Source organism: Homo sapiens, chromosome 16 (assembly GCF_000001405.40).
Source record: "Homo sapiens chromosome 16, GRCh38.p14 Primary Assembly".
NCBI classification, from domain to species: domain Eukaryota; kingdom Metazoa; phylum Chordata; class Mammalia; order Primates; family Hominidae; genus Homo; species Homo sapiens.
In genome coordinates, this window is record NC_000016.10 from 54,632,977 (window position 1) to 54,658,681 (window position 25,705).

Consider the following 25,705-nt stretch of genomic DNA (forward strand, 5'->3'; position numbering starts at 1 on the left):
CCGTAGCACCCACATCCCCGCAAGTTTTCAAAACGGAAGGGGCCTGGTGCATGTGTGATCTCCCAGCACATGGTTGTGGGCCTGGCGTGCCAACGTTCAGGGCTGACATGAGATCAAAAGCCTGATAAATGAGAGGAAAGGGAATGTTTGACCCACTAAACCATATTCTACAAGAATCTTGGGCTTTTAAAGTAATAAGAAGGGCTATAAATTACAATGTCTTGGGTATATTCTGATGCACATGAATGTTACTCACATGTAATGTTTTTAGAGAGATTCATGAGCAATTGAATGCTTAAGAATCCAGTCCCCTTTGACAATTCTGCATCTCCAGTCAGAGTCCACATTTGGGGAAAAGCAACTTATCATCTCTCTGGAGTTTCAGAAACTGAAAATCATAATTAGGTAAAAAAAATTCTTTAAATAAACAGGAGCAAATTCCAAGTGACACGAGACATCCATATAGTGCTTCCTTAGACCAATAATGTGTCACATTTAGAAAGGAAACCTCATGATTGAATGAAAGAAAAGATGAATAAATGAATGTAACAGGATAGCATAGGATTAGAAATACAGGCTATGAGTTTGAGGGCTTTCTCCCTCATCACAAGCTGTGTGATCAATTACTTCATTTAGCCTCTTCAAGTCTCAATTTCCTCATGTGTTAATAATAGTAATAGCCTCTGTGTCATACAGCTATTGAGAAGGAAAAGGAGGTTGTGTGCATAGGCACAGTGATTAGTACATTGTTAATTAAGGGTTCAGTAAACATTAGGTACGGTTCTGTTGATGTGGTTATTATAATTATCCACCAAAGACTGGATGAGTTTATAGATGGAAAGATGGAAAGGAAGTTTGGGTTAATCTACAAATAATAATAATAAGCTCTGCTGAGAGATCAGAATACATGTAAAAACAATGACTTAATACAAAGGAAGCCATCGCAAAATTTTCCTAATATTTGGATTGTTAAAACAACCCAGACTTCTGGTGTTTTCTAAATTTTCAAACCATTTGACCCAGCCTACTCTGAGGCAATGCTGACAAACCTTCCAGCAGAGGGCACTGGCCCCATTGAAAGATAGGGAGACCATTTTGAAAATGGCTGCCTTCGCTATTCCAAAGAAAACACTCACGCTAGCCACGAGGACAAAAAGCATTTATTTTTGTCTGGGCAAATTTGCCTTCAGACCAAAAGCTTCTCAAGATGGCAAATGTTCTGCCTGCTAGGATGTTGCCAGATAAAACAATTACTTACTAGAGTCAAAATAACTCCAAAAGCTATGCACTGAAGAAGGCAATGAACAATGAAAAGGGGTCAGGCGTGGTGGCTCACGCCTATAATTCCAACACTTTGGGAGGCTGAGGCCAGAGGGCGGCTTGAGTCCAGGAGTTCAAGGCTGCAGTGAGCTATGATTGCACCACTGCACTTCAGCCTGGGTGTCAGAGCGAGACCCTGTCTCTAAATATATAAATTAAAAAGAATGAAAAGAATACTTCACCTCAGACCTCAGCCTTTCATCCTTCAGCTGGTGAGTAGTTCTCTACCAAGAGGGATTTTACTCCTCAGGGGACATTTGGCAATGTCTGGAGATATTTTTGATTGTCACAATTCGGGGTAGGGGTGGTGAGAGGTGGTTGCTACTGGCATTTGGTAGGTAGAGGCCATGGATACTGCTAAACAGTCAATAGGATGGGAATATGTTTAAGACAGCCCCCACAACAAAAAAACTGTCCTGCCCAAAATGTCAATAACGACACAGTTGGTAAACCCTGATTTAGACAGAGGCACAATACTGATTTTCCACTTGGCTCAGCTTGGCTGGGGTACACATTAATTCTAAAGATGTGATGCTGTTGAGTCGAAGTCTCAGCAAATTTAAAATACTACTACTACTAATAATAATGATGAACAAAAGCGGCTCTTGGCTGACTAAGCTTCAATTAGGAAGTAGAGAAAACAGGTGCTGAGAACACAACTTCAATTTCCTAGCCCTAAACTTCAGAGAAATCAGCAGAATCAGAAAATTGTCCATCTCTTGATATCTTCCCAAAGTGGAGAAAGCCAATGGTTAGAGACTGAATACTCGCAGCTGTATTTAGAATCCCTAAGGGATGCTGAACATGCTGGAATTAAGCAGAGGTGGTAGGTAAGTGGATTGAGGGAGACGGGAGCCCAGAACCTAGTCAGTCCAATTTGTTCTGTCATTTGGCCAAGTTAGGTAACTTCTCTGGGTCTCAGTTTCTCATCTGCAAATCAAGGCTACCTCCATCTGCCTTGCAAGGCTGTGGTGAGGATTAAGATAAACAGTGTATCTAAGTGATATTTGTAATTTCAGGAATGAAATCCATACCCTAAAATGGCCAGGATATTTTACATTAAGTTCTAAAGTTAACCAACATTGATTTGGCATTCCCTAGATACCAGGATTCAAACGGGTTACCTCACTGTAGCCTTCTGTTATTATCCCCATTTTACAGACATAGCAACTGAGGCTCAGTTGTTACATAGCTACTTAGCAGCAGAGGCAAGGTTTGAACCCTAAGTAGTCTAATGTTAGTCTACAGTTTCAACCACTACCTTACCCCACCTACCACATTTAGAGGTGAGGGCTGGAAGAAACATTAGAGATCATTTGGACAACCCTTCTAATTTCTCAGATGTATAACTGAGTCCCACAGGGACTAAGCAGTTTGCTTGTGATAAAGCTGGCATGGAAACTGGGGGTGGGGTGGGGTCCTGACTCCCATTTCTTCCAACAAAGAACGGCTTTGCATTTTTTTTTTTCAAAATCAGATACTATTTTCCCAGCACAGGGTAAACACAGGACAAATCACTTAGCATGTGTATCTTAATAACCCGACTTGACTGAGATGAATGAATTCACATTCAGTCATCATATAAGCCTATTAAATATTCTGGGAGGCTGCTGTATACATTTTAATGGATGTTGAAACACCTAGCGTGTGTTTATGGCTCTTTTAATCTTGCCAGTTTTACTAATATGATTAGTTCAGGGACCATTTCACATTGAGACTTAGGTGTCAAAACAGAACACAGAAGTTTCTAGAATGTTTTCTTTCTTGATTTTTGTTTTTTTTTTTTTTAGAATGGAATATTTGGATCTCACCTATGAGCTCAATAAGAAAAGAAAAACACAAATGACTGAAAGCAGGACTTCAGCAGCCCTGAGAAATCATGGACGGGAATCCACCTTTGTTTACTACAAAACACCCTGCTTCACGGTTTCTCATTGTGCTACCTTCCTTCGGGGGAACCCCAGGATTTCACAGGCTGATATCCCCAGCTACATCCAAGTTTCCAGAAATGAGGATCCATAGGCACAAAGTGAGGTGTCCCCAACCCTCCCTTTTTACAGCCCATGCCTGATATTTATCGGAACGTCCACAAGGCGATGGTGAACGGTGGCCAAATGAGAAGCTCAGTGTCTGGGAAAATGATTGAAAATGGCCAAGTGCCACAGTGAGAGTTGTTTGTTCTGGGAATGGAAGGAGGAAATTGTCAGAGGAAGTGAAATAGGAAATGAAGAGATCAAAGGGAGGAGGAAATAAGATTGAATTGAGCCCTTTTTGGATTCAACTTTGCACTCTTAACCCATGTGAGGCAAAAAGATTAGCCTTTAAACAGCTGGAGTTGGGGAGAAACACTTTCCAACGGGTGCATCCTGGCGACTGTTAGCTCCCACATCCCACCCCACAAATGGACTGCAGCAGGGGAGCTGAGGGAAGCCAGATCCGTTTCCTACAGAAAATCCAGTGGTGAGTGCCCCCAGGCAATCCGCAAATGCTCATTTAACCCATAACACTCTAATATGTACAACCTGAGCTCAGACACTTGCCCCCAGAAAGAAGTGGGGCTCCTCTAGAACCACCCACTTTTGCAGCACTGATGGTGGGAAATGGGCCTTCCAAAAGGCAGAGTTTGTGATGGAAGAGTTAACAACTGGGATGAAGCTCCAGGGGGTGATGTGGTGATGAGCTAAGGGAACCAAGCCCTAAGAAAGATCCTTTGTCCAGGCTTGAATCTCTGGTCATCTGGGGGCCTGTCTCCTTCCAATCTTAGGGTTAGTACCTGTATTTTCCAATTGGGGTTTTGTTCCCTCAGCCCATGGGGGGACAAGTCTTTCAATAATAAATAGTTATTGATCACCTAGAGGGAGCCAGATACTGTCCTAGATGCTAGGAATATGGAAGTAAACAAAACAGACAAATATCTCCACTCTCACAGAGCAGATATTCTAATGAGCAGCAGGCCAATCAAGTCAGATCAATAAGTTAAATATATGGAGTTTTTAATGGTGATGAGGATTAAGAAAACTAAACCAGGGAAGTGAGAAAGGGAGTGTTTTAGGAAGGAGGCCCAGAGAGGGACCCTGAGGAGATGATATGTGAGCAGGCCCTGAGGGAGGTGAGTTAGGGAGCCTGGGGGAACATCTGGGAAGACAGCTTCTCTCCTACCATCCCCTCCTTGCAATGCGCCCGCATCCACATGGTTTTCTAAGAGGTTTTACTTCTAGCAAACAGAGAGAACTTGTAAGACAAAAACAACAAAAACAAAAATAGGTTTTCTCCTGTCTTCCCAAAGGTCCACCAAGATATTAAAGATGGGACTTGGGTGTCCATCTCTAAAACACTAAAACCAGACCAATCTGCATTGTAGAGACTCCAACCAGTGTCTTCAATTCCAAGCACTTTGCCTGAGGGAGAGGTTGGGCAGTGGGCAGGGATGGAGATGGATGAGTGGGAACAGCCGTGGGCTTGGAGGATTGTCCATGGGGTTGGAGGTGGGGTCTGTCCTTGCTCCACTACTTCTGCCAGGCCTCTGCAGACCCTATTGGGTTGGCGAGATGGTGAGACTTGGGGCCTGGGGTAGGGAGGGGATTATTCCAAGTGGTGGAGAAATTCCAAAAGGCAGAGCTGGAGATAGGAGGGTGATTCCCAGGGCCACTATTCTGGGGGGACCTTACACATATAAAATCAAAGGAATGAGTCTCTGGGTCACCAATGTCTACTATCCCTGTTCTAGGGATTCAAACAGCTGCTTTTAGACACCCAGTTTTTACTCTACAGCCGTATACATTAACCAGGAGGAGATTTGTGACATCAACAAGCAATGCTAAGATAACACACACATGGGCACGCACACACACATGCTGGATCCGAGAGATCTGACAGTCATTACCAAAAGCTGACAATTAGTTTGGTATCCAGCATGCAACTGGGGTCTGTAATTTCCAGGTCCAGAACTCTGCCATCTCTTGGTTTCTTGGCACCTGAATACCAGGTAAGGTTCAGACTTTGTCTGACACCCCCATTCCTTGTCTGAGGACAGCTTGCAACTTGACCTTTTTGATTATTTCTATTTCTCTCTGGAAATTCAAACAGATGTTGGCTCAGGTCTTGCACACTTGAAGAACTAGATCACGTTGTTCTATCTCTCAGCCCACACACTTTACCAAGAACACTGTCCTTCCGGGGGCTGACTCCTCATGATGGCTTCTGGCACTGAGCACCTGTTGCCAGAGCATCATCTCACCACCTGGCACGTGTGGTCCCCATGCCCCATGGTTTCCAGACTCAGAAATGGAACCAGCCCCACCATGATTCTCAGTCCCACCCTACTCCCAGCACACACACGCGTACACACACACTCATCCTGTCTGTACCTAGTAGACTTTGCTGAAGGTTTGGAATGATAGAAGAGGAGGAATGGCTAGAGATTTGGATTACAGCTGTGCAGATGACTTTTCAATTGCCACGTTTTTTTGTTCTTTTGCTATAACCACTTACCATCTATGCTACTGATTACTTAATATGTTTCTTCAAAGAGACTCTCTACTTAAACAGTTTATTTTATAAGAAAACTTTATATTATGATTGTAAATAGGAAACCTGGCATAAATAGAATATAAATAGACACACAAAAATAGTGTTATTCATAGAATTAGCTAAGATATATACCTAAAACTTGCTCTTTTCTTGTTAAAAGGAAAGCTGGCAAGAATTAGCAAAGTATTAAAGGCATATGAGCACCGAACTTAGACTTTCTCTTGTCATTATGATCATAAGAAGGATCAAAAGAGTTCATTTCCTCATTAGCTCATGAATTAGTGTTGTGCCCATGTGTCACCTAAAAATCACTTGAGTGCCACTGGAACTTTGGGAAATGCTAAACTAACCACTAATCAATAGTTATGCCCTTATATTTAATTTGCTCACTTTTTTTTCTCTAGACTGAAAGTCCCTCAAATGCAAACAATAGACTTGTATTTCTTAACAGTTTCACCCAAGAACCAGCAATTTTAGAGCTCATAATAGGCACTCAATAAATGTTTGTTGCCCTGGTCAAATCTAGCTGCATCTTAGGTTTAGAACTCTTGGCAGGCTGTGTTAATATATTTCTGGAGTTTTCTGGAGTATTATCATGCTCTTAAGAATCTCTGAATGACCCTGAATCAAACTGTTAGAAATATCAACTTCTTTCTAAGAATCCTAGAGAAGATACTTTTGAAGGTATCATCTCAGTTTCCACTCAGTTCCCGGGGTGCTCAAACTATACTATTTCTTTCTCTTTAAGAGTTCAAGGAGACAGATCAGCTCTGTGATACTGCCCTCACAAGACATGATCAGACAATCCAATTTTTTTCCTATGATGAAATTGATCTATAAAATGGCTCTCACACTCATGATGACAAATACTGAAATTTTGAATTAGCTCTTGAGCTCAATTTTCTTTTCCATGAGTATTTTATAGTGAGATCAACTTTCAGAGGAGAAGGTGCACAAAGACTCGTGAGTAACTTTGTCTCATTAACAACCTGGAGAAATCCCAAGCTTCTCTTCATTGTCCTTCCTGGTTTGTTTAGTGGCCTGAATGGATGGGTGGGGGTGGGGGAGGAAGAAAGAAAAATTGGTATTGAAAATTATACTTGAGAACATAAATCCTTTTTGTGAAGCAAAAGAAGAGCATGTTGATCTGTTCCAAAGATAGGTTTCTAGACTTCTTGGACTATGAATCCTTTTTTAAAAAATTAGCCTCATATTTAACATGTAAGGACAATGCCATATATTGCTATAGTTAAGGCCTGAGTAGAATCTCAATGAATCCCCAACAGAAGTGATTTGTTAGCAGGCACTTCAGATCACCAGCGACAATTCATTTCTGTAAAATAATGTAAACTAATTATCTACAATGCGGAAGCAAAGACTGCGCCTGCATGATAAATTGCAGAATATTGCATTATAAAAAGAAATATTAATTCACATAACATAAAATTAAAATTGATGACAAACTTTTTCCTCTTTTAATTGTTTAATTTTTTAATTACTATTGTCTTGCAGCAGCAGACATCACATACCTCAAGAGGCACACAAATGTATTTGCCTGAAAGCACATTCTTTGCAGAAAAAAATGTTTATTCAGAAAATGAGTGTTTATTAGTTCTTTCTTTTATTTCATGAAAATTTATTTTCTCTCCTGGGAAATAAATTTTAATGTGCTGTCTTTTTTTTTTGCAGTGGGAGGATTTTTTCCTAGCACACGAGTACATTTTTTATCAGAAAAAATCTTAAACTTTTAATAAAATGAAGGAAGCAAAACCATCAAGATAAACACAAAATTTTAAGAATTAACATTCTGGCTGGAGGGTTGCACTTTATACTTTCTCTCAACCACAAATTGTTATTTGCCACCATTTTCTCTCCTGAGCACTTAAGATAAACCCGAAAACCTGATGGAGAGATTCCTACCACTTAGTTCTCCTTATAGATGCAACAGGAAAATGCCTAAGTTATTTGTTTCTTTGCTGTTCCAAATGAAATTAAAAATATAGATCTTGCTAAGAATGCCAATCAAGCAGGTGGCTCTTAGGGCATTACATGATATGGTTTGGCTCTGTGTCCCCACCCAAATCTCCTGCTAAATTGTGATCCCAAGTGCTGGAGGTGGAGGCTAGTGCAAGGTGATTGGATCATGGCGGTGGTTTCTAATGGTTTAGCACCATGGGGGTGTTGTCTTGTGATAGAGTTCTAACGAGATCTGGTTGTCTGAAAGTGTGTAGCACCTACCTTTCTCTGTTTCTTCCTCCTGCTCCACCACGTAAAGAAGGCGCTTGCTTCCCCTTCACCCTTCTGCCATGATTGTAAGTTTCCTGAGGCTTCCCCAACCATGCTTCCTGTACAGCCTGTGGAACTGTGAGCCAACTAAACCTTTTTTCTTCATAAATTACCCAGTCCCAAGTAGTTCTTTATAGAAGTGTGAGAATGAATTAATACATTACACTAAGATTGGATGGTGGGAGAGACCATTTAATCAATGGGGCATTTCTAGGGCACCATCTTATTAGTGGTTCTTCATTCAAGCTACCAACCAACTTATCCCCGATCACTCCACAGCTTTCACTTCAGTGGCATCTGGAAATTTGGAGGATTTGAGTATTTAGACCCACAGCTCTGAATGAGTGGCCATGGGCCATGTGACTCTGCTCCCTTCCCTTCACAGCCAAGGCTGACTGGCCCAGAGGTCCTGACCCAAAAGTAACAGTTCTTTAGATAGCTGAGGACAAGTCTGGTACCAAGAGCTCTGCCTAAATCAAGGTGAGAGGGTCAATCAGAGTCCTCTCCTGGGAATATGAGCTGAGAGGCTGAGTTAGTTAGGGTTGTATAGATGGGCTGTGCTGTGTTGTAGACTGGTGGCCATCTTGAGTCAGATGGAAATCAAGAGGAGACAGACATAATCAGAACAAGAAAAAGCAGATACAATACATGGGGGTAGACCTTGAAGGAAATATGAAGAGTATTGATTCTTTAGCTTGTGACCATACTTGGCTCTATTGTTTTTGGATTCTAGACCTTAGCATCCTTGCAATAATACCCTCTTTTTATTTGCACTAGCTTGAGTGGGTTTCTGTGCCTTGCAAGCAAAATTGCCATGACCAGCATATCCTTTGAGGAAGCACATTGGCTGCTTCTCAATAGCCACCTCCTCTCACCTCTGGATCTTTACACGTCTTTTACACTCTGTCTGCCTGGAGCACCTTTCTTCTGCTTTCCTTTGCTGAATCAACAATTGCCTTTCCCTTATATCTGATGCAGAGACCCCCTCACCTCCCCAGATGACTTTGCAACCCTCCACAAGTTGGGTGGTCTTCTCCTGTTCCCACAGTCTCTCTGCTGTGGTCTTCACCACTGTGAAGTAATCAACATCTTATATGTCTGACTTTGAGCTCTGCAAAGCAAATGGAAAGACCATAACTTTCCATCTCTTTATTCTATGAAAACAGGACACCTTTTTTGTTGCAAGATGGAAAGCCTACAAATCAACAGATAATCTTGCAGATACGTTCTTTGACCTCGCATTCGAAATTCCTTCTCACCTATTTCTCACTACTGAGCCTCATATTCTATTCCATTCAGTAAAACAAAGATCTCAAAAGCCTACATGCAGGTACAAAAAAAAATAGAAAGAATGAAAGATCTAGTATTTGGTAGCAAAACAGAGTGACTATACTCAATAATAATTTAATTGTACATTTAAAATAACTCAAGGAGTATAATTGGATTGTTTGTAACACAAAGTATAAATGCTTGGGGTGACGGATACCCCATTTACCCTGATGTGATTATTATGCATTGTATGCCTGTATCAAAATAACCTATAGACCCCATAAATATATACATCTACTATGTACTCACAAAAATTAAAAGTTAAAAATTTCAAAAAGAGCCTACTTACGATGTGAAAAACACATGGTTGCCGATCTAGATGTCTGCTGTTCTTGAATCTTCCGCAGTAATTTCTTCACTTCAAGCCTTTGCTTGCAGAATTATTTCTATCATCAATGTCTCTCCTCATCCATCTCCAATTCTCAAAATCCTACGTCTCCCTCAGAACCCAGTGTAGGAACAAGCTCCTTCTCAAGGTCATCTCTGGTTTGCTTAATCGCCTCCTGTCTCCAGCAGAGAGGGGAATTGCCTTTCCAGGACCCCCTTGGCACTGTATGCCACCAGTCTTAAAACAGTCAGAACGGTCTGACCTGGATCCTGTCCCATGCCCCTCATTAAAATTATAATCTCCTCTAGGCCAGGAGCCCTGTCTTGTTCAGGGCACACCTGCCTTCCCCACTCCCCCATTAAATAAAGGATTTTTACCACTTAAAGTATCTTTGGGCTAGAAAAACCTTAATCTTCCAGGATATTTTCATCTTATCAGAGAGAAGCAAATGATAATAAAATAACATTGTGGGTTAAGGAAAAAAAGTCCCAAATTAATGCCTTGGATGTTCTTCCTCGTACCTGTTCTTCATCCACAGATTAGAAGGATAAAGGCCACAGTTTACAAATGATATATCTTAGATCACTCAGTTTTTCAGCCTCCATGAGAAATTTCAACTATGGTCACACTAGGTGTGATTAAGTGGACTGATCTGTCCTAGGAAATATTTCAGCAGCTATCAGACCAAAAAAGGTATTTTGATTTACTTAACCAGGATATTGATTACTGAAGTATGATACCTGCTGATCTATTGAAGTTTTATGGAAGTTAAGAAAAACTGGAGAGAAAAGATTTTTTTCCTTGCTCAGCTTTTTTATGTCTAAGCATTAGCACTTACTACTACTTATGCCTCAGAGACAGAATGGGCATCATCTCTGCAAAACAAAATAAAACAAAACAGGCTCGGTATGGTGGTGCATGTTTATAGTCCCAGCTACTTGGGAGGCTGAGGCAGGAAGATCACCTGAGCCCAGGAGTTCAAGGCCAGTATGGAGAATGTGGTGAGCCCCCGTCTCTCAAAATAAAAAAAAAATTAAAAATAAAAAAGCCAGAACTACCATAACATGTTACCATAAAACACTTATTGAACACCTACTATGTGTCAGGTATTGTTCAAAGAGCTAGGATCCCTGAGAAGTAGGAACTGTCATGTCCCCACTTTGTAGATAAGTAAAATGAGGCACAGAAGGATAAATGACTTGTCCAATACCAGACAGCTGGTATATGACGGAGCTGAGACTTGAATACCACCCGGCTGGGCCATTAAGCTGTTACTCTCAACTGTTGTGCTCTACTCTACAGAGTACATAGGGGATCAGGGTTGCCTGCAGGAGGGATTTTAATTTATACCTTCATCTGCTAATAACTAATCACTTGGCTTTGTATTATTGCAATGTAGGAATTTCAAAAGTGAATTTCCTTCATCTTACCTGTTCACTAATGAAATAAATCATGAAACAGAGCAGGTAGAGGATATTTGACTCATGGCACAAGTAGGGTAGGCTCTCAAAAGTCAATCCCTTTTCCTAAATTTCCATTTCACCCTTCTCTATATACTTTGGCAGGATCTCTCAAATTTCTGTGACTTCAGCCCCAGTGTTCTGTTATTTTCCATGTACCAACCCCGACTCCCCATGTACTCCCAACTCTTCTCTGACCTCTGAGGACTGCATCGTCCAGCTCTCCCTTGACTCTGGCTTCTGGCTAGGTTGTTGATAGAAGGCACCAGCAGGATGTTGGAAGGTGGAAGGAAAGAGAAGTCAGGGTATTATTTCCCTCTCCCTCCCGGCTTCCCAGTAGAGCGGCTATCTCCTGCCTCCAAAGTCCTAGTTCCCATTTGGTTCTGGGAAAACCATCCCTTCCCTCACTACTCGGCTGTAGGAGGCTAATGGCTTCTCACTGTTGCTAGTCCCTGGGTGCTGCCATTCCTGCTGGTTCTCCTAACCCCACCCACATCTGCATAACTCATCATCATTTTAACCTCTTTCCAGTTCAAACTCTTCAAGCATGCTGTTTTGCTTTATCCAATGATGACTAATTATTTACCAAATATTTTTTCCATCAATTAAATTATTTTATATTTAATTATTTACAGATATTCAATCCCTATTATAAATGGAACATCATGTTCATTTACCATAAATTGAATTACAACCATTAAAAAAAAAAAACAGGGCAAACAGGTCAATATCAGTCAACTCTAGCTAGCTGTTATTGCCTGCCTCCTCAGGCTCTGAGCCTGAGTTCTGCCCTCTCTGGTAAAAATCAACATGAACAAGAGTGAAAAAGTTGTCAGAGACATCCTACCACCAACCTGAGACTTCCCAGCTGGTACAATCAGAAGGATCGAGAGAGGACTGTAACAGGAATAACTTTCTCTTGGTGTGAATCTACGTTATTTGATACCCATCTGGAAGATAATTTGTGTCTCAGCTTTTGGGTAACACTGCCCCACAGCAACCAGTAGCAAGTAGCTATGGACTCAATTAATAGCCTCCAATTATGTCTTCGAGGTGAATCTCAAGGATCATAGAAGATACTAGATAATTCTAGAAGAGACTGGAAGATGATTCTAACGTAAGGAAGCATAGTATCCACTCATGTACTTGCATGAAACAATTAGTCCTCTCTTAACAACAACACTAACACCAACAAAGGCATATGCTTTTTGCTTCCAAGAGAAGTTGGTCTTTGCTAATACTCTTCACAAGGCAAACTGAACGAACAGGAACAAGTGGTTCGGCCTCAGAGAGTGCAGTGTCAACATGCATGTGTGCAGAGGAGCATGTTCCCATGAGGCTCTAAGTATGCGAGGAAGTTAAACTTTACCAAAGCAAACATTTTAAGATATGCACATTATGATACTTCTTATTGGCTGATGAGAATGATACAAACAACATCAACATGTTCCTCTTTCACAGTCTGATCACCATGAACTAATATTAATTCCACAATGTCAGCAGCAACAGTGTTCATCAGAGATACAGGTTGCTAGTCCCAGCTTGGTTGAAAATACTCATTTAAAGCATGTCCAGGGCCTTTTTTTTTGTTACATTCACCCAGCCCTGTTGTTCCTGCTGTGTTTTATTAGGCAAATATAAAATTAACAACACAGCAATAATTATTTCCTAAACTGGTTCCAACACAAATTTCCAATTTGAGGTCAGATGTATTGCCTAATAAAATTTTTACAGCTGCAGTCAAATCGTGGTAGTTAATTCCTGGAAAATACAATTCTTAATTCGCCAGAATTAGTTTTAAGTCTTGATTCATCCCATAAAGACGAGTGTGTATTACTGCAGTTTATACAAAATGTTCAAATAGTAATATCCAATATAATAGCTTGCATAATTTCAGCTAATTCAATGTTAGAGGTATTTGACCTACTTATACTTTCACTGAACCATACATCAGGGCTTTAAGATCATTGGGTCTGATCTTTCTAAATTGCCCTTTCCCGAACTGCGTAAGTATTGCTTAATGCCATGCAGCTAAACATGGAATCGTGTCAAAGAGGAAAGAATAATTAGAATATCCATGAAGTGGGGTTCTATTTATACTACTATTGCTACCAGCCATTTGTTACTTTAAGACCTATGCCTTAATCACAGTCTCTGAGCCACTGCTCTGAACTGCAAAATTCACACACATGTACCTGCAGAATTCAAAACTCATTTCATCTGCTCAGGGTTCCCAAAGAGTACTTATAAAACAATTAAAATAGTAAATGCAGGAATAATACTAATAGCAAATATGTTCAGCACCCATTATGTACCAGACCCTATTTTAAGTGTTTTACATATGGTAACTTTTTAATCCTTGCAACTATCCCAGGAGGCAGGTTTTATTTTACTCATTTTACAGACAAGGAAACAGGGGCAGAGATGGTAAGGAACTTCCCACATACAACAAGGTCACATGGCAAGTGACAGAGCTGGAGTTCAAATCTCGGAAATCTGGCTCTAAAGTCCCTGCTTTTACTAAATAGTATTATTACTTTATTTATTTATTACATAGAGACTGGGTCTCACTCTGTCACCCAGGCTGGAGTAAAGTGGTGCAATCACAGCTTACTGCAGCCTCAAACTCCTGGGCTCAAGCAATCCTCCCACCTCAGCTTCCCAAGTAGCTGGGACCACAGATGTGTGCTATCATGCCCAGCTAATTTTTAACAAATTTTGTGTAGAGATGGGGTCTCACTGTGTTGCCCAGGCTGAGCCCCTGTTTTTGACCATGCTACGATATTATGTAAAATAAAAAATCTTACCAAAAACAAATAAATTATCAGAATTCACCATGTATGGTAAGGATTTTTTTCTTCTATGTGCTGAGGGCAACAGAAGAGAAATTAGACTCGTGAAATATTTAAAAATAACAAAAACAAATAAGAGAATAGTGCTTGAGGTTCTGCTTCATGGGTTGTCTCATGCAAATATATTTTTTTTCTAAGTGTCTAAATCATGCTTTGGCATCAGCAAGGATCTAGAAAATTCGCCAAGGATAAAACCTACAGACTTCTGGAAGAGGCCGTCTTCTGCCAACCACATGCAGCCTGAGTTCTTAGTGAGGACCATGCAAGTTGGGTCATGCTTTCTTTGGCCTCTGGAAATAATTTGTTCCTGGACCAGAGTCTTGGCACCCGGTTGCAGGGTGGTGGAGAGGGCCAGACTTTTGTACCTTGATAGACCTGAGTTAATTCCTGTTTGGCCACTCCTTAACCATGTGCCCTAAAGCAAAGTACTTAGTGGGTTTTTGCCTTCATTTTCCACATTGTAAGTAGGGTTGTATCTTTTTTTTTTCTGTGTAGTCCATTCACCCTACTTTTAATGCTCTGATTTCTCTGGCAGTTAGAGTTCTTGAATTGCAAGCAACAGAAACCAAGTCTGGCAAACCCAAGGAAAATGAATTCACTGGAGAGACATGGAAGCCACATCGTGAAATGGAAAACCCCAGAAAGAGCTGGAGAAGGGACAAGAATGAGAGCTGCTTGGAGCTGCAGCAAAGACAGAAAGAGACAAAGCATGCCAAGTCCACGGTGTTGTGAAAGCACTCAATAAAGATTCATTCTTCCCCCTTCTGTCTCAAGCTCCCTTTCACCAAATTCTTCATCCATTCCAACACATACTGTGCGCCTACTCTGTGCAAAGCACATTGAGCAGTATGAAGAATGTAAAAATGAATAACTCAGTCCCTGCCAAAAAGTCAGCCATGCCCTCACCCAGGGTATTATTTTATGTTGTTGAGAAATACCCAAATGAATCATTCATCTCTGAAATAAATGGCTAATGTCAAAACATTTACTAATGCAGACAAAGCTGACTGAAATAAATGGTTGAATAACCCATTGTTTGGAAATCTACAAGAGTAATATATATTACAATCGGATAAATCAAAATTACAAAGGATTTTCTGCTGCTTTTCAAAATGCTTGCCAGAAGTCTGTCAAATGACAGTTGGAAGGATAATAAGTTTAATAAGTGGTTGCGGGTTACCTCCAGGGAACGAAACCAGGGAGTGGGGCTGAGGCGGGGAAGGGAGTGGCGGTCGGGGGGCAAGAAGGAAGGTCACTTCCCATTTTATAATTTCCTAAAGTGTGTGGATTTTTAAACTGAATTTATGTATTTATTTTATAATAATTAAGTAACTAGTTAAATAACAATATATTCATTAGGGTATTTTTAAAGAAATAAAAAACCAGCTTGAGCTAGCGAAGGCAAAAGAGGGAATTTAGTGGCTTAGGATGTAGGCAGGGAGGGAGTGGAGGTGAAACCAGGGCCTGGACATTCTCTCTTTATCTCTCCATCTAGGTCACTAACTCTTGTCTCTGCATTGTTCATCCATTCGCTGTTGCCGTGAACTAGAACCTCCGCTAATGGCTGTTCCTGGCCTCACATCCTCACAGCTTTGTGACTGGAAAAGAAAACAGTTTTTCCCTCTAGTTCCAGCTGGCAAATCCCCAGGAGAGGACCCGACTGACCTGGCTAAAGGCTGTTGCCTACCTATAAACTAGGGTTGAGAGAGCGTCATTAGCTCAGCGTGGGTGAGGCGATGACTCCTCACTAATCAACACAGCAGGGAGCGGGAACAATGTGGCTCTCATTTGATCCACACGCAGGGAGGAAAAGGAGCTGGGTAGAGCCAATCTAGAATGGAGGGAGTTGCTAGGAGCTGGGTGGCTCTTCCATTGTGTCCCCCGCAGTCTCTTACCTGACTCATCTGTGGACCCTGGTCCTCATACATCTCACACCAAGAGTCTTGGCTCAAAGAAGACCTCAGGAACCAGATCCTCAAGCTTGGGCAAGCCTTCTTATGAAAATGAAATAACTTGAGTGTCTGAGTCTTTTCCACTGAAGCATAAGCATTGAGTTATTAATTATTCTTGCTTTCCTTTTGAGGCAAATCCCATCAGATCAAGGACAGAACTATAAGCCCCTTGATTTCTTCTCATCTCTGCATTCCCAGCTCTTTGTATTTATACCATTAGTATTAACTGACCACTTACTATGTGCCAGGTGCTATTCTAGAGTCTGAGCATGCAATAACAGGCAAAACATGCCTTACAGAGCGTGTGTTCTAGTGGATGAGACAGCAATAAACATATATATATACACACACACACATATATATGCACACACACACACAGGCACACACACACAAACATCTTCAATCATTTCAGATTAGGATGTGGGCTATGAAGAGCCTTAAGGCAGGGTGTGGGGACAAAGAGTATTAGTGTGGAAGGAGGACATTTTAGAGATGTGGTCAAAGATGACTTCTTTGGAGAAGTGACGTTTGAACAGAGACCTGGGTGGAGTGGAGTGTTTTCCAGGAAGATTCAACAGTGTGGACAAAGGCCTAAGGTGAAAATGAACTTGACATGTTTGAGGAGCAGCAAGGTGGGCATCCCAGCCAGAGCAGAGGAAAAAGGGGGCAGATGGAGGGAATTGAGGAGGGAGAGGCTGCTGGCCCCCATCACGTGCCGCCTTCCAGGCCACAGTGAAGACTTTTCATGTTATTCTAGGTGTGATGGGGCGCCTTGGAGTGTTTCAACCCGGAGAGTGACATGATCTGATTTATGTTTATAAAGTGCCTGGCCAGTGGTAGGCTCTGAGTAAATATTTGTTAACAATTTAAAAAAAGAAAAAGAACTCAGATAAAAAAATGTTTTAATAGGCTCCTTGGCAGGAGAGAGCCCGTGCTCCCTGTTAATAATGAAAACAGACTGACATTTGTCCAGTGCTCTCTAGTTTACAAAGCTCTTTCACCCCGATGATCTCATCTGACCTCTCATTTGGAGGAAGATATATGACCGCACGACATCAAGGCTCATATGTGTCTCTACAGCTGTTAGAGAAGAGTCTAAGCTTAGGGCTCTGAAGATGCCACGGGCCTCCTCAGTGTGCTCTCCCAGATGGAGGCAGGGAGATTCTCACACTCTTCTCAGAACCATCCTGCAGGCTTAGTTTTGCCAGTCAGAGCCCCCGAGGAGACCAGATCAAGAGGAGATTATGTATGCTCTGGAAGATTTGCTTTTTTTTTCTCTCTTTTCTACTCAAACATGAGCGTTTCTTAGGTGGTTAAAAAAGAAAAATTATTTAACGTGCCCCTCAGGCCTGGGATTAAGGCCATTAGAAACCATGGCAGCAGGGGGCCCCTAAAGCACCCCTGATTTAAAGAGCTGGTGTCAAGGCCCTCAGTTACATCATGGGACCACCGTCCAGAGCAGGACTGGACAGCCACCACCCCCAGACTCATGGCGCCTCATGCCATGGCCTCAGAAATCACATCGTCCTCCTGGTCTCTCAGCTTTAGTTAAAGTCATCTTTCCTGTGCTATGCCTCCACCCAAATGGGGAAGGCGGACTTTCACCCACTTTTTCTGGGGCCGACCAAAGAGAGAGAGGGAAGGAAGAGAGGGGCTAGATTCCCCAGGTTCCCTCCCACTATTCTAACCTCTTCTCCAGGTAAGTCAGGGTGTCCGTCCCAGTTGTCTCACTGTCAATCCGTGACCTTGGGCAGAGGCAGAGGCAGCTGTCTGGTGGGGCAATAGCAGATTTGAAACTCAAGGGTTCCCGGTTCAAAGGACTGGCAAAACATTGAGCCTCTTCCAGCTCAACCCCCTTAATACAGTCCAGGGATTGGAGGCCCAGAGTTCAACAGTACTGGTCTTAGCGGCTGGCCTTTACCATTGAAATGCCATCTCTGCCACTTTAGATACAGTGCTTAAAACGTCCTTAGCCTCTGAATATTTTTAAACATTTCTTTGTGCCACCTTCAAGCTACGTCTTACAAGAATCATAAAACAGGGCCCTTAGAATTTGTGGAATGAATGCAATTGCTAACGGGCTGCCGTATAATCATCAGCAAAATACATGTCTGCGTTCTGGACGCCAATATACAGTCATAATAGAAAGAAAGTAAATCTACATTTTCTGTTGTCAATCATGTTTATTAAATTGAAAAAAAAGTCTCCTCTCCCAGGCAGTCTGAAAAGTGGGAGGAAGATGAATTTATTCTATGTTGGAGGACTAGGCTAAAAATGTAATTAACAGATGCAATTATGCATTCTGATGCAAAGCGCTCCAAGCTGACAGGGAACTTATAGTGGAGCTCCCAGGCCACAGGCTCCAAAACCTCTAACAACTTTATTCTTATACGCTGGCCTACGGTTCAATCTTGCTTCCTTTGAGTATCTTCTGCAAATAAAAGGCCCTATTCTTCAGCTTCCCCCAGCTTTATTCGGAATGAAAACACCACTTTGTGCCCACGTTGTGTTAAAATAACAGATTTGTGTTCGTTCCTGTAGGTTTCTGATGGCAGGAGGGAGGCGGTCTATCTTCACTGCGGATGGCGAGGTGCCTTTTGGAGGAGGAGGATGGAGAGAAAGGGTCTCCAACAGCGAACCTTTGTCCTGCAATGCAAATGAACCTCTGCAAAACAGGGCGCAGACAATGCCAGCCTAGTCCTCTGCGCGAAGCGATCCATCTGCAGCTATTTTGTTAACCTGATGTTTCTTACATTCTTTCTCTCATACAAAATACTTGATTTTGACAGCTGTGAATTTTAAACAACCATTCTGTGTATGTTTTTCTAATTTTGTGTATTCAGATTGTTTCTCCATATTGGGGGGGTTGGAAGCCAAGTACTTTACATTCCTTCGTTTAGAGATTTCATGCTTTTCGAAAGTCGTGGCGGTTCTGATCGCTAAACAAAGTAGAAATGAAGTGTGCTCACCAGCAGCATTGGAATGACCGGGGAGTGCAGAAGCACTTTTGAAATAAAAAAGGTTGCACAAGCGGACTGGAGGCAGGGCTCAGGAGTGACACATCACTCAGTCACACTCTGGTGGCCCCAGGAAGCTGCGTCTGCCCTCACTTACCTGTAAAATGGGGCTGCAACAACATTCTCACAAGGCAGAAAATAAAGATCTCATATATCCAGGTCCATCAACCCAGTTTTATTTCCCCTTTCCAGCTCTAGTTACATTGTTCTGGCAGCCAATCTTTCTTCTTAGGTAGCATGCAAAGGCATGGATTTGTTTTTAAGCATGAAGGAAAACAAAACGTGCTCTCAGACTGAGGCTAGCGTTGATAAGACACCACAATTGGGTGCATGGTTTTAAAACTGGTTTATTTATTTATTTATACCTTTGCCTCACCGATAGAAGGCAGTTCACCACCCAAACCACAAATGATAAAAACAAAAACTCTGGACAAGAAAAAAGGAAGCTGCAAATAGGGCAATTATAAGGCTCATTTTGTTTGCTACCACTGAGCTTTGAAATCTGACTCACAGCTTCCTGGCAGCAAGAGTGAAAAGGGGATGACGATTAATGACAAAGCCTCACTTCACTGGAGTATACAGTTCTTCAAAGGAGAGAAGAATTTTCCAGATGCTTCATTTTCAAATAAATTCTGCACTCAGGGCTCTTTATAACGGGTCAATGAGAACAGAAGTTCGCTGTCAACTGTGAGAGCAAACAGAGCTGCAAAATTGCCAGGGCCAGAGCAAAAAAGTGAAGCAAAGGGGCACCTGTCTAGTGCCCATTCCAGTTGTCTGGTGGTGGGCTCACAAAGTCTTATCTTGAGAAGGATTCAAGACCACATCTAAGCTGGGCAAAAAAGAGGCTACACTATGTTAGAGATGCCTGCCATAGGCAGAGGGCAGATGATGGCCCACACGTGTGCTGAATAACTCCTAACCTTGGCTAAATAAATACAGCACAAATGAGCAGGTTTCTGGTCTCCAACTTGATCCAAAGATAGAGCTCTAGGGGTTTAGTAGACTGGATGGCAATCAGGATTTTTAGATGTCCCTGAATAACACTTTTCTCAGCTGGGACTCTGAGAGGAGGTAGAAGGCTGATTGGAGTTTCTATCAATGCTTTGAAGGCAAAGCAAGCAGATGGTGGGCTTGACAGCCGAAACTGTAGAAGCCTGAGCTGCAAACACACCCGATTCAGGGCTGTACCACCTCCACACAGGCATGGACCAGATACTCTTTTTTTGTAATTTGTAAGATATTTTTTCCTATAGGATACACTTTAGGGAATTTCCTCTTTCTATATTTCACATTTCTCTATTATTTGAACTTATAACACAAATCAGAGAAGAGTATACTTATTTTAAATATTTAGATATTAAAATATTTAATATTAAAATAATTTAGACATTATTTTAAATTAGTCTTCCCTTTTTTCTTTCTTTCTTTTCCTTTTCTTTCTTTCTCTTTTTTCTTCTTTCTTTTCCTTTCTTTCTTTCTTTCTTTCTTTCTTTCTTTCTTTCTTTCTTTCTTTCTTTCTTCTTTCCTTCCTTCTTTCTTTCTCCCCTTCCTTCCTTTCTTACTTCCCTTCCTTCCTTCCTTTCTCCCCTTCCTTCCTTCCTTCCTTCCTTCCTGCCTTCCTTCCTTCCCTCCCTCTCTCTCTCTCTTTCTTTCTTTCTTCCTTTCTTTCTTTCCTTCACTACAAGTATGCCAACAACCTGTAAGGACTATCTTTAGAGTTCAGTAAAGCAAAAATTTGATCAATAGGAACTCATCTAATGGTTTCATTCACTCTACCCTTGGAAAGGAACAGATAATAAGAAAAGAAGCTCAGAGTCTATGGTGGCCACAGATCTTTCACAGACCCTGAAAATTCACTCCCTCTTACCCCGTCTTCAGGGTCTCTACTTGGACAGGACAACAGTCAACAGGGTATCCCGAAGGCCTGTCGTCAAGAAAACAAGTTAACAAACAACAACAACAAAACCATTCACTTCATCAATAATCAAGGCAGGAAATACAAAGTAATACCCTGGAACAAAAATGGTTCAAAAATGAAATGGGTTGTGCAGAAGGCAGAAAGTCCAGGTATCTTGGCTAGATCCAGAGGCACTGCCCTTTGTGCACCTAGACCTCAAATTCTCTTTTAGTTGCAAGACTCTGCCATCCTGAGAGTGTCTGAACACGTTTTTCAGAAGACTCTGTAACAACAGTGAATTTTTCAAAGCAGTTTTCTGGTGAGGCTTCAATTAACCAGAAAATCAGATTAATTGTGCATGAACTTCTATTTCTGGGAACAGTTTGACCCATGGAATATGCAAGTAAGACGTGTAAAAGTAAGACGTGTTAAAATGGGGCTCTCTGGTATTTGCTTTAGAGCATGGAAGAATGGGAAAACAAGACAGTGAGGGCTGGGGGCCAAAGAAAATGCTATATTTAGATGTGCAGGGCTTTGTTTGGCCCTGATACCATCGTAGACACAGTTAGTCGGGAACAAGGGGGCCATTCAATCAATCCACCTGACACGCTGTCGCCGGCCCGTGCGTTCCACAGGCACAGAGCTCAAAACCATCCTGAAAGAGGCTGTCGACTGAGAAGAGGTAACAGCTGCTCTGTGGCAATTAACCAGCAGTTTCTGTTGCTGAAGGAGATTATTTTGGATGGCGTAAAGAGATTCAAATAAAAATGTCAACGTGCCCATTATGGATGAAAGTTAGAAAAACTTAAGTGGCCCTGAATTAATCACTATTTGACAGGAAGGCACGTAAACGAGTACTAAAAATCCCCCACAAATCTATTTTCCTGCCTTTTTGGTGATTGTAAAGAAGCTCACTGGGGGTGGGGAGGGCATTTCTTGGCTGCAACCTTAATTCATCTTGGAGTGAAGATTTAATGACAAAGTTACAAGCCCTTAAAGTAGCATTTATTGAGGGGCTAATGAGAGTTCCTAAGAACTCTGAAAAAAAAAAAGAAAAAGAAAAAATAGCAGCCACTAACACAAGAGGCCTTTGAAAATACCGAAGAGAGGGGAGTTCATTAGTCTTTTTTTTCTTCCCCTTTCTCAACAATGAATGTTTCTGCTGCCAAACCTTCAGGAATAGGGTTGGTTTCCTTTCAAGTAATTGATGCAGACTTTGCTTGTGCATCGGAGTCCAGACACTCTTTCCAACAAGAAGCAGGAAATCTCACCGTCAAAGGGAAACTGTGCATTCCTTCCTCTCTGGCTGGGTCGGGGCCTTGCAAACAGTGGATTTATGCTGCCCTTGCCAAAAACACCGCCGATTTCCACGCCCTCCCATGGCTAAGATAACGAATGCTGCCTTCGGCCTCTGAGAGCTGCACTTATTTAAAACTCCAGCTATGCTGTAACAAAACCGGCTGCTGTCACCCCAAATCGAGCAAATGAGCCCCTGTCCTACAGCATAAAGGCTAAGAGAGTTATTGAATGTCCCCTGCGGAGAAGGCCCCATTTGCCCCTGCCGTCCCTTAGCATTCCCCCTCACCCCTCTTCTCGGCCCTCTCGCCTCCACTCCTCCATTCCAGGAGCACAGGAAGGAATAGCTGTGGCTGGTCTGTTCCGAAAGGATCGAGTTTTCTTAAGTCAGAATTTTTTTCTTTTAAAGAAAAAGCAGAAGTGGAAAGGAATGTTGTGAAGAAAATGGAAGCTGGCAAAGTGTTTTAACTTCAAATAATCTTCCCGTCAATGCTGACACCCAAACGTAATGCTCTTTTGTAAATGTAAATATAACTGAACAGTTATAGGAAGTGGAGAAGGAAGGAGAGGGGCTGTAAACCGCCAAATGTAAAACAGGTATCGTGACTTCTGGTCGCTCAAGACAGAGAGAAGCATTGCTTTTGGAGCTATTATCCCCAAGGAGTCTCAAAAATGATCTACAACATGTAATTAAACTGACATGCAGAAAACATGTGTATTTAGAAAATGCTCTCACTGTTGTTTATGCCTAACCAAAACATTCCATTTCTCTCAGGATACAAAAGGAAGGTTTTGCAATAAAAGTGCCTCCATTTGGAGAATACATTTATTAAAATGCTATTTTCCACGTCTGCATTAATCTGAGATCTGGGAGATGATTCCTATTTGTACAATACCCTCCTGCTTGGGAAGGTTTATGCCTCGTGGCACAATATCAATGGTTTAGTAGCCAGATTGCCTAATTCTCAAAGAACTGTTTGCTTGACATCACCTAGGGAGGAACTCAGACTAATTCACCCCTCATTGGGACACGTGCATATTTCTGAGAACATCTCTTTAAATACAGTCACACCCTGAAGGCTGCACATCATACGTTTTAATTCCTAAGGGTGACAAAATTCAGCACAGCTTAAATGGATTTTTTTCAGCTGCATATAAATAGTCTTCAGTTCCAAGGGTGAAGCTAGGTGCCAACTGTTGGCTAAAATCACAAGGGAGAAAACACACCTTGCTGTCTTCAGGACTCGTGCTGTTGGGACTGAGAATACTAAGGGTGACTATAATAAGAAGAATATTAATAGTAACCATACATAATGTTATTATCATAGTAGCTTTCATCTATGTACCAAATAACGGGGGAATACTTTGTATTCATTTTCTCAGTTAAATCAGGCAACATCCTTTCAAGACTGGTAGTATTAGCTTCACTGTAAAGATGAGAATTCAGGAGCTCAGAGAAGTTAATTAATGGCCCATGTTCACACAGTGAGTAGATGGAAGAAGGAGAATTCAAACCAGAACTGGCCTAAATACAAAGCTTTCTTTCGAATCACTACCCTAGTCTGTTCTTTCCACAGCTACCTGCGTGCACATATGACTGACTTTGTAGCCATCCTTTCTTCCTTATAAACTCTGGTCTGCCCAACATATAACCCTGTGCTTCACAAGGGAGGCTGTGTAATCTAGTGATTAAGAGTGCATGGACCAGTGTTAGATTGCTTGGCTCTGAAACCTGATTCTATCACTTACCAGCTGGGTGATCTTGTGCAAATTTCCCAGCCTGTGTCTTTACCTCTAAAATGGGAATATCAAACATTCTTATATAATATGGTTGGTTGTCGTAAAAATAAAATGGGATAATGTACTTAAATGTAGCATAATTTCTAGCACATACTAATTACTCGCTTAGTGTTCGGAGAGAAGAAAAGAAAGAAAGAAAAAGGAAAAAAGGAAGGAAGGAGAAAAGATAAAGGAAAAGAATAGAAAGAGGGAGAAAAAAAGAAGGAAGAGAAAAAGAAAGGAAGAGAGAGGAGAAAAAAAGAAAGGAAGGAAGAAGGAAGAAAAAACAAAAGCAAACCAGAGGAAGGGGACACGTTCTCACAGCCACAGAGGGAAACCATTACCAACAGGGGATGCTGGAATACAGACAGCACCTCAAGGCTTCAGACAAGCCTAGTGGGCAGGACCCAGGGCCAGTCATACTATTTATTGGCTCTACTTCCTTGGTGTTGGCTCTATTCAAAGGCTGACTCATCCCAGCAGGCTCCCAAGACTATGCTTACAGTTTTCCAGCTTCCCAGGAAGTGAAACCTGCAGGAGAAGTGAAACCACCTTGCCCCAGCATTCTCAACTTTGATCAGGTCACATGCTCACTTCTCAGCCAATCTCCAAAGCTTGTGGAATGCCACATGCTGATTGGCTTTCTCCCATCACATGCTTCTCTTCCGGCTCAGGAAACAGAGTCCAGTGTACCAGAAGCCCAGAGATGGAAAATGGAAGAAGAAATCATTTCCTAGAGGGAAATGGGGGTGCAATTACCAGGAAAAGAATAAATGCAGAAATGACAAGCTGATGTCTACCACAAGCAAAATTTGCCTTCCGAGTGCATAACCTCTTCTTGGCATTGCTTGTGTCAGTTGAGTCGGTGTGGTCAAGAACTAGTGTTCTAAGATCTGTTGACTTTGGCTTGAGCCCTGGCTCCATTATTTACTAGCTGTATGACCCTTGGCAGGTTAACCCAGCTCTCTCTGCTTCAGTTTCTTCATTTGTAAATGTGGTTAATAATATTACTCTTCTCATGGTTTGCTAAGTATTATATATGTATATATAAAGCACATAACATGATAACAGTACATGCTAAGCCCCCCAAATTTTAGGCATTTAACATTCAACAGATATTTGTTGAGCACCTACTACATGCCAACTACGTGTTAAGTACTTGGAATACACTGGTGAACCAAACAAAAGGATAACAACAAAAATCCCCTGACTTTGTGGAGTTAACATTCTAGTGTAGAAAGACAAATAATAAAAAATAAACAAAATAAGAAAATATATGGTATGTTAAGTGAAAACAGTGTAAAACAAAAGTAAGTCAGTGTAGAGGGGATTAAAGTAGTGGTGGTAAGAAAGGACAGGGTAGTCAGGGTAGGACCCGTTAAACTGGTGACATTAAAGCAAAGATTTGGAGGGGTCGAGTGAATTAGACAATAGGATATGTGGCGGGAGGGTGTTCCAAGCAGAAGGGCTAGGCAGTGCCAAGTCCCAAGGTGGGAACACACCTACAGTGTCCCAGGAGCAGCAAGGGACCAGTGTGGCTGGAAGGTTAGAGGTGACATCAGCAAGATAAGACAAGGCCAGATCAGGAAGAATATGGGAACCCCATGAAGACTTTGAATTTGACTCTGAGGGACATGGGAGGAGGGTTTACCTGAAATG

General features: G+C 41.8%; 1 long non-coding RNA gene across 1 annotated transcript; it reads left to right on the plus strand.

Moving 5' to 3' along the window:
- The first annotated feature begins 1,092 nt into the window (after nucleotides 1–1,092).
- Nucleotides 1,093–19,233, plus strand: LOC105371274 (uncharacterized). The gene is made up of 3 exons (XR_933596.3): nucleotides 1,093–1,532; nucleotides 3,111–3,780; nucleotides 18,599–19,233. It is a non-coding gene; the product is annotated as an uncharacterized LOC105371274 (long non-coding RNA).
- The last annotated feature ends 6,472 nt before the right edge of the window (nucleotides 19,234–25,705 follow it).